Below are 9,677 nucleotides of genomic sequence, written 5' to 3' on the forward strand. Positions count from 1 at the left end.
GTAGTAAATTCCTGAAGCACATCTTCTAATTCCTCAAGTCTGTAAAATGAGAGTGTCTATTTCAGTCTTACCAGCCTGGTATGGTGTAGACTGGGGCCTGCCCTCATTCTAAAATTCATGAAAATGGGAAACTCATTCACTGCCATTCTCTTCTTCCAAATGTTCAACCTTCCACAATCCAAGTGCTTTGGTCACTTTCTGGAGGCTTCACAAGTTTTTTATTTTTTGTATTTTGTCTAAATTTTGTAGTTTTTATTTATATGAGAGTTAATTTAAATAAAACTATTTAATTTACTTTTGAAATGATCTTATCAAATCCCCACAGAAATCCCCACAGAATGCCTATTGATTAAGTAAATTTAAGTTAATTAGACTTACTGTAGTAAGGAAGAATGTCACATTAATGGAATTGTAATATTGGCATGAAAGGTAGAAATCAGGAGAGAATATTTCTACAATCTTAGGACCTAGGCAGGATGACTTTAAAAGGATCTTGCAATGTGGAAAACTGGCTAGGTATATGAAGAGTTTATATGTTAGGTTTTGTCTTGGTGGTCAGAGTGAGGCAAAAATTTAAAATGAGTATTTAAGGTGTTAGTTTTTGTTTTTGTTTTTGTTTTGAGACAGAGTTTCCCTCTGTCACCCAGGCTAGAATGCAGTGGCATGATCTTGGCTCACTGCAAACTCCACCTCCCAGGTTCAAGGGATTCTCCTGCCTCAGTCCCCCAGTAGCTGGGTTTACAGGCACGCACCATGATGCCCAACTAATTTTTGTATTTTTAGTAGAGACAGGGTTTCACCATGTTGGCTGGGCTGGTCTCGAACTCCTAAGCTCACCTGATCTGCCTGCCTCGGCCTCCCAAAATGCTGGGATATCGGGAGTGAGCCACCATGCCCAGCCAAGGTGTTAGTTTTTATAAGTTTCTATTTTAATTTTTTTATAGGCTTTTCTTCCAGGAACAAATATTTCCTGAAACAAGTTGCTAAGTGATTTTTACACTGTTTTGGTATTGATTAGTTCAGAAATAGGAAAGCATCTTTGTTTCTCTTTTCAGAATTTAATATTTGATATATTGAAAAGTTTTAAGTGCAAAATTTGACATAGGATTATGGCGAAATAAAAATATGATTTTTGTTTACTGATAGTATTTTTGACCATTAGAAGATATTTTGTATTCTCACCTAAAAGAAATATCTAAAATATGAAAATATTTTTAAAACCTTGGTGTAAACACCAAAAAAAAGTAACGCTTGAAAACATTATTTTTATTATAATTTGACCAATGTATTTTACACTTTATGCTTTAAGTTTTTTAAGCCAAATTTAAAATAGAATTGATATATGTTTATTTTAAGGTAGAAGGGAAAAGTAATCTTTTAGAACCAAAACAAAAGGTAAAATATTTTTTTGCATATAAATCTATGTATGTATTTATCTATAAAATGCAACGATGCATTGTGTTGAATGTAGCTTTTTTAGATCTCTACTTTTCCCCAATTCCCAACTCCTTGTTTCTAGCATCTAACTAACTTCCTTAGCAGAGAAAAATGGGTAAAAATATGTGGGGTAGGAGTTTGGGTAGCAAATGGAAAAACACAAAACAAGAGGCCAACAAAAGTTTTTTCTTTACCATATTTTACTGATGTTCAATTAGAAAACTAGCATTCACAAACAGAGCAGGTTATGTGGCTAAGATTCTCTCCAGTAGAAATTGCAGAAAAAATGGCAAGACTTTGGTAGTACACTATTAATGCTTTCAGTGGCACCAGAGTATTCTATTTCTTTTTTTTCTTTTCTTTTCTTTTTTTTTTTCCCCAAGACGGGGTCTTGCTTTGTTACCCAGGCTAGAGTGCAATGGCGCGATCTCGGCTCACTGCAACCTCTGTCTCCAGGGCTCAAGAAATTCTCCTGCCTCAGCCTCCCAGGTAGCTGGGATTACAGGCGCCTGCTGCCATGCTCAGCTAGTTTTCTGTATTTTTTTGTAGAGATGGGGTTTCACCATGTTGGCCAGGCTGGTCTCAAACTCCTGACCTCAAGTATCTGCCCGCCTCGGCCTCCCAAAGTGCTGGGATTACAGGCATGAGCCACCGCGCCAGGCCCAGAGTATTCTTAAAGTTATGGTGTAGTACTTTCTAATTCAAAAATGAAAAGGAAAAGTTATGCTGTTTATTATTAACCAAAAATGAAGATAAAATAGTATTCCATTGTTTCCTAAAGTTTTCCTTTTTTTGAAAAAATAATGTTAAGTTTGGCTTAAAGAATATTGAAACCCATTGCAAAAAATAACTAACTAAGAAAATAAAATTTTGGGTGTTTGCTAACAGCCAGAAGACTGCAATTTGAATTATAAAGGGGGCACAAATTTTAAATAATAAAAATCCATGGATATTATATCTTATTATGACATTTCCTTTTAAAATAGGTGTCTTGGAGAAGAGTACTCAGAGGGAATAAACACCTTTCTAGAATCAAAGAAATAATTTGGGTTTAACTCAGAAGAATATAATATCGGGGTCCTGGCTCACAGGACAAAAAGTAAATAACCACTACCACACAGCAATACAAAAACTACCACCACCAACATATACATCACCATTTAGAAACCTTGGATTGAGCTAGGGGAAAATTGTGAATCAATAGGTTATGTAATAAACAGGAAACAAAATAGCAAATCTGAATGACTCAAAGTAAAGGAAACAAATGTTTTTTTCCCATTTTATTTATGGCAATGACAGATAAAAATATGTATGTGAAATACGTAATTATTTGGGTCTGCTAATCTAAACACTATGATGCAGAAAGTATTTTATTTTTTATTCATCTGAATATTTTTATAGTCTCTAAAACTTCTTCTTTTCTACTCAGATCACCCTCAATTTCTTGTCATGTTTCCTGTTCTAAATTAAAATTTCCAGTTAATCCCCATTATCCTCTCTCTCTAAGCAAGCTTACAGCCAAGGCTAGTGCGATGATGTGATATTTTTGCAAATTCAACTTCATTTTTTTGGAAATATCTTGGAAAAAGGGTAGTATATTTCACAGTGCAAAATGAGCCAGTTTCTCCTGGTAATTTATATATAGTTCCGAAACTAAAGATATCAAATATGTCTTTTTTGTTTGAAAGACTAATTCAATATCCTCATTTTTCCCTGTATTTTCATATTACTCCTAGCTTATATTCTCACAGTTAATTACAGACTGTCTAATATTTTCCCTACTTGTTCAAACTATGTAAATGTCCACCCTCCAACTAGTGTGAATCTTTGAAGCACAGACTGTAGAATCCTTTAGAATTACTGAGGTCACTGCCGGGAACTACATTGAAGTGTAAGTTTTTCTATCCTTTTTTAAACTGAGAACTACATATTCTTTGTATACATTATTTAGAACATATACATAGTTACCTAGTTGGATATTAATAACTTGAACCCTTAAATATTTTCACAATTATTATATCTTATTTCACAAATAAGATATAATGTCTTAAGTTCACCCATGAAAAATGTATTGATTCACTATGTATTGATTCACTATGTACACTATCGATTCACTATGTGTTGAGTTGTTTAATGGCATTGATAAAAACAACCAGTATTTTTCTCATCTAAAGTTTAATTACACATATTGTTACTTTGAGGAAATTTAAGACATTTATAGCTTTCATTTACTTCTTCTCTTATACCCTCAACCTCACTAAACGCCTTCATTACTTTAAGCAGGAAAACAACGTATTGCTTTGGTGTTATGATACTATGTGTAAATCATTCCAACTTGCATTCTCCCTCTTGCCTTTTACTTTGTACATTACAGTGAAGGTGCCAAGGCGTATTTCCATTACAAGAGAAAGATTTTAGCCTAAACCGTATTCCCAGCTCTGTGTAACATACCAGATTCCTTCACTAGTAAAGTTATACTGTTGAATTAAACTATCATTAAAGCCCTACCTAATCTAAGTTTTCAATTTTTTCTCAAGATATTTTCTTAATACATGCTCTTTAATAAGCTTTTGTTGTTTGAAATGTTGTTATCCAAAACAAGGCTATCTTTAAATTACACATTATGCTTCAAATCTGTGTCCCACATCAGGAGAAGCAAGATTCAGAAAACAGTACCATTAAAGCAATATTTCCATGAGAACATTTATCACCCTTCCTCTCTGATCAATAATCATTCCAAATTATATCCTAGTGCCTTGCTTTTTTTATGCCTCTCACATTCTCATTGTCTCAATATTTTTGGACTTATTTCATTTGCTGTCACCTGCAATATAATTAAATTTGCCTAGATCAAAATACATCTTGCTCCATCTGGATGTATCCTTCTACTATCAGTACCACCATTTTACTCATAGAGAAATAAAATTAAAAAAAAAATCTCATGCCAACAGAGAAAATCCTACACAAAAGTTGAATAGAAATAAAATAGTTTTATGTTGAGTAAACATTAAATTAGAATGTGATAACAATCTAGTATGAGATTTCAAAATAAAAAAAATCATATTTTTATATAGCCAGGTAGATACAACCTATTATATGCATGTTCTGAAGATAAACAAAAACTAGTCCTCAAGTAAGAAGATGATGATGCCATTTGTCACATACAGTTAATCATAGATTCACATGGTATTTAGGGTGGCCATCTGTGTTAATTGACTTTATGTGAAGAAAAAACAAACTTTTTATTTTTTATATTTATGAGGTGGCTTTGCAACTTAGAGAGATGCACCCATGAGGTTAAGCTCCTGCCTTTTGATGGAAACTGAGAGATAGGGGAGCTGTCTTTCTTGATGATTAATTTCAAAGAGATAGTTTCAATGTCCTTAGGGAAGATGTTTTGGGGGCTTAATTCTGGCAAGAAGCATAATGGCCTTTTAAAAAATTCACACATATTTCAAGAAGACAGAGACACATCTTACAATGATAAGTTTTCTAAGGCAAATGCTCTAAGAAAAGGAAGGGAGAAGTCTTTTCAATTATTTTCCATAGGAGTAATTCAACCTCTTATTTTTATTTGTACTTGTCTTTTACCATGTTAGAGTTCTCCAGTAAAACAAAACCATTCATTAGGTTCTGTTTCTTGTTTTCCCAAAAATCAGAAACCTTATATAAGTAGTGTGTGTATATGTAGTGTGTGTGTATGTGTGTATATATATATATATAATGTAATGTGTATGTATGTGTGTGTGTATATATATATATATATATATATATATATATATATATATATATATATATGTAATGGGGAATTGGCTCACAGAATAATGTAGGCTGAAAATCACAAGATCTGTATTCAAAAGACCCAGAGGAGATGCTGGTGTCTTCAGTTGAGTCTGAAATCCTTGGAACCAGGAACATACTGTGGCTTTAGTTCCAGAAAAAGTCTGTTTAGCCAAGGGTGTAAGTTCCAGTCTGAAAGCCAGCAAGTTCAGTTCTAGACCCAAGAAGAGCTTGTGTTTCTACTTGAGTCCAAAGGCAAGAAAAGATAAATGTTCCACTTCAAAGCAGTCAGGCAGGAAGAGTTTTCTCCTACTAGAGGGAGAGTCAATCTTTTTTTTTTTTTCCTCAAGCTTTAAACTGATTGGAAGATGGCTCCCCAGAATCTGAAAAGGCAATCTGCTTTACTAGGTTTACCAATTTAAAGGTTAATCTCATAAAAAAAACACCTTTACAGACACACCCAGAATAATGTTGATCAAATATATCGGTCAGTCAAGTTGACACATAAAATTAACCATCACAAGTATCAAGTCAAGTACCAAATAACTTTTTTCTAATAACTTAAGAAAAGATCCTCAGGGATTCTAGTTTTCTTATTAGTGTGGCGTGTTAGGTATCATTTGAAAAGAGTGAGTAATATCTGGAATAACCACTGCAAGAAGCACAATACTCAACACTAGTAATGTCCTACTGATACCCAAATAAACATTTTCGCTTAGTACATCAATTAAAATTAACCTTTTTCCCCCAATCTCACACTCCTAATTTTTACCAGGCAAATTATAAGATTCTACTACTTATTTTCCTATACAATTCAAACTACATCATTTTGACTTAGCTCTTGATATGGTTTTACCCTCTGTTGCTTTATATCTTGTCAATCACATTTTCAAGCTTCCCTGTGAACAACTAAAGGAATGTTTTATTGGTAAATCAGGAAGTAAAAATTTTAATTTCATCCTGACTTTGTTGACATTTTTTTTCCTGATTTCATCCCATATTCTCTGCTTCAGTTAACCTGCTGTACCTTTTATTGTCCACATAATGTGCACTTTTCCTGTCTCTTCTATTTTTCTTAAGCCATTACCACAATAGGACATGCTCTGACCTCTCTAAGTTTCCTTTAGGTCTTACTTATTCTTTAATGCTTATCCTTACAACTGTAATCTCCTTAAATCTTAAAATGATCTGTCACCTGGAAGTGTATTTTTAATCTTATGAACATAATAAATACTTCTTTTGTAGTACTTATATTTCACTGTATCATACTTGTATTCACACTTTCTTTCTCCAAAATACTGTACATTCATAGACAGCAAACTATTATTTTCTGTTCCTTACAGTCTCTAGCAGTGTACTTTAACTTATGTGTAAAATAAATCAATTGATATATTGATTGCTACATATAGAATACTTTAATATAACTTCTTTCTAGCCTTGTAAAAGCTGTGTATGCAGGAATTTCTCAGAGAAAATTTACACAATGAAGAAAAATAATTTGTTGTAGTTAAGTTCAGAGACAGTAACTTCAACTTAGGCCTTTAAAAAAGTAATTATAGAGGAAAAAATGAGTACAAGTTTTACTATCTTTACTAAATTTAAGTGTTTAAAAACAAGTGAATTTTGTTAATATGTAAAAATTCATTTTTGATAGTAAAATCTCAGTCTGTGTGTGTGTGTGTGTGTGTGTGTGTGTGTGTTCAACATGAAGTAATCATTTCGTGGCCAAGGACTGAAAAATAGTTGAAACAGATTTCTAGATAAACATTTTTAAATTATCATCATCATTATCATAAATAAAACACAAGAACCAGATGAGGATTTAGGGGTATGAACAAATTTAACTAATAGAATTATTTTTTTAAAAAAGTCCTAATTTTCCATCTGTATTTTTTTCTATAATAATTTCCAAAGAAATCTCTAATATCAGCATTCCAGTATTTCTGTGAAAAAATGCATTATTTTTGTATGCATAAATTTTTGAAAGAAAACAGTATTGTATTTTGATGTTGCAGTTTTGAATGCAGTTTATTTCAAATATTATATTTAATGATTATTAAGTTTAAAATTCTACAATAACAATTTTTCCTGAGTATTAATAAAAGGATTTAAAAAAAGCTATATGATGTCATAAGTCACTGCTCACCACCTTGCCACTATAGGGTTGCTCCTTAAAATACACTTTCCAATGATTTGTACAATGCAATTTGAAATGGTTCATTTGATGGGTTACACATTTTTCTCCTGGGCAACCATTGTATAATACGATTCTCAATTGTTCTATTGCCAACAATATTTTATTGAGTTGTTGCTTCTGGTTTTCTGTTGTTGTTGTTATGTCACAATTCAATTATTTTTCAATGTGTGTAATTTGTTAAATATATATTTCATATTATTGGTCTCTTAATACTATATTAAAATTTTGTATAATGTTTTATATTTTAATATATATTTTATACATTAATTCCATTAGATCTGAATAAAAGAGTTAAAATAGCATCATTGATTGAACACTTACTGTAGGTCAGGCACTATTGAAAGTACTTCACAGGTAATAATTCATTAAATTTTAAAACTCTGTGGGGCCAGGCATGGTGGCTCAAGCCTGTAATCCCAGCATTTGGGAGGCCTAGGAGGGAGGATCATGAGGTCAGGAGTTCGAGACCAGCCTGGCCAATACGATGAAACCCCGTCTCTACTAAAAATACAGAAATTAGCCAGGCATGGTGCCGCATGTCTGTAGTTCCAGCGACTCGGGAGGATGAGGCAGAAGAATCACTTGAACCCGGGAGGCGGAGGTTGCAGTGGGTGGAGATCGTGCCACTGACTCCAACCTGGGTGACAGAGTGAGACTCCGTCTCAAAAACAAACAAAAAACAAACAAACAAAACTGTGTGCTAATTACTACAGCCATGCATCACTTAACAATGAGGATAAGTTCTGAGAAATGCATCAAAGGCAATTTTGTCATTGTGAAAACTTAATAGAGCGTACTTACACTACCTACGTGGCATAGCTTACTAGGCGCCTAGGCTATATAGTATAGCCTATTGCTCATAGGCTACAAACCTGTACAGCATGTTACTATGCTGGATACTGTAGGCAATTGTAACACTGGCAAGTGTTTGTGTATCTAAACATAGAAAAGGCACAGTAAAAATACAGCATTATAATCTTAGGGTACCATAATTTTATATGTGATTTGTCATTGATCAAAACATCTGTATGTGGCACATTTCTACCAGCCTTCCTTGTGATGAGTTGATAATGGTAGCACATTGGCTAATATCTTTGAGGAATTATCCACTCAAATTTCTTTTTTATTTTTTAACTCCCAGAAAGATCTCTTATGAATATGCTGCATCATATTTTCCTAAATGTAATTGTTCAACATTTGTGCACCGAACTACATGAGTATCTCTTAGCAAATGGAATCATTTATACCAACTCAGTGAACGATTTCTTTTAGAAAAACTTAGGAAAATAAACTTTTCTGTGTGTCTGATATCTAGTGATGAATAGTAATAATGTATTATTTAATTGGGAAGACTCAAAATTACAAAGTCCACATAAAGCTTTTGTAATATTCTTGAATGTAAACCATAGCTATGTCTAGTTTTTTGGTTTAGTCTACAAACCCACATATCCAGACTCCTCAGTGAATTTCAGCTGCAACTCTACCATTCTCAAGCGTCATAATAGTTTTACTGCATGAATGAAGGAAAAAAGATAGGATAAAATAATACTTGTGGAAAAGAGTTAGCAGCCTTTTTCAGTTTACAAATATAATGGAAATTTACTGAATGCACACATTTTTTAAAATACAGAAATTTTCATTGTGACACTCAAAATTGGATGAAAGTAATCATCCAAATTACTCATTAAGAATAATAACTTTCTATTATGAAAAAGACTAAAAACACCTTCAATATCTTAATTCAATTTAGATAATACAAGTTCTAAGTTACTTGTAAATTTAATCTGAAAAAACAATTTAAACGCATAGTGCCATTCCTAGAATCTTAATGCTGTCCTTATGTTTCTCTGAAATGTTACTAAGTTTAGTAAGTTTAGAGAATAAATTTACCTCTGATCTAGGACAAGATACTAAATTGATCATGGCCTCTCTTCCACTAAGAAGAAAAAAATATAGGAAGTAAGCTGCTAATTGCATACTATTATATTCCAGTCATTATTTCGTAACTTCAAAGAGAGTACTCTAAGAGTCTTTTCAGTATTGAACTCGCATTCCAATTGATAAGCAATGACATCATAATTACTTCAAGCTCTAGATCGATCTGTTGATTCTTGATGGAGCAAGAACATTTAACATATTGATTTTTCTCATTTAAGTCATTTTCTTAGCATCTTTGAGTCCCTTCATTCTATTCAGTCTTGACTGAATGTATTTAATAATATGTAGCTGATCTTTCTAATGTTTTCTCATATGTTCTATATTG

The 9,677-nt window shown here is 32.7% G+C and overlaps 1 long non-coding RNA gene across 1 annotated transcript in view; it reads right to left on the reverse strand.

Moving 5' to 3' along the window:
• LOC105370232 (uncharacterized) overlaps positions 1-9,450 on the reverse strand; it is a 35,548-nt gene extending 26,098 nt beyond the window's left edge. The window contains exon 1 of the long non-coding RNA XR_942011.3: positions 9,305-9,450. This is a non-coding gene — a long non-coding RNA (uncharacterized LOC105370232). The remainder of the gene's footprint in view (positions 1-9,304) is intronic.
• Between the last annotated feature and the right edge of the window lie 227 nt (positions 9,451-9,677).

The sequence above is a fragment of the Homo sapiens genome, chromosome 13 (genome assembly GCF_000001405.40).
Source record: "Homo sapiens chromosome 13, GRCh38.p14 Primary Assembly".
NCBI classification, from domain to species: domain Eukaryota; kingdom Metazoa; phylum Chordata; class Mammalia; order Primates; family Hominidae; genus Homo; species Homo sapiens.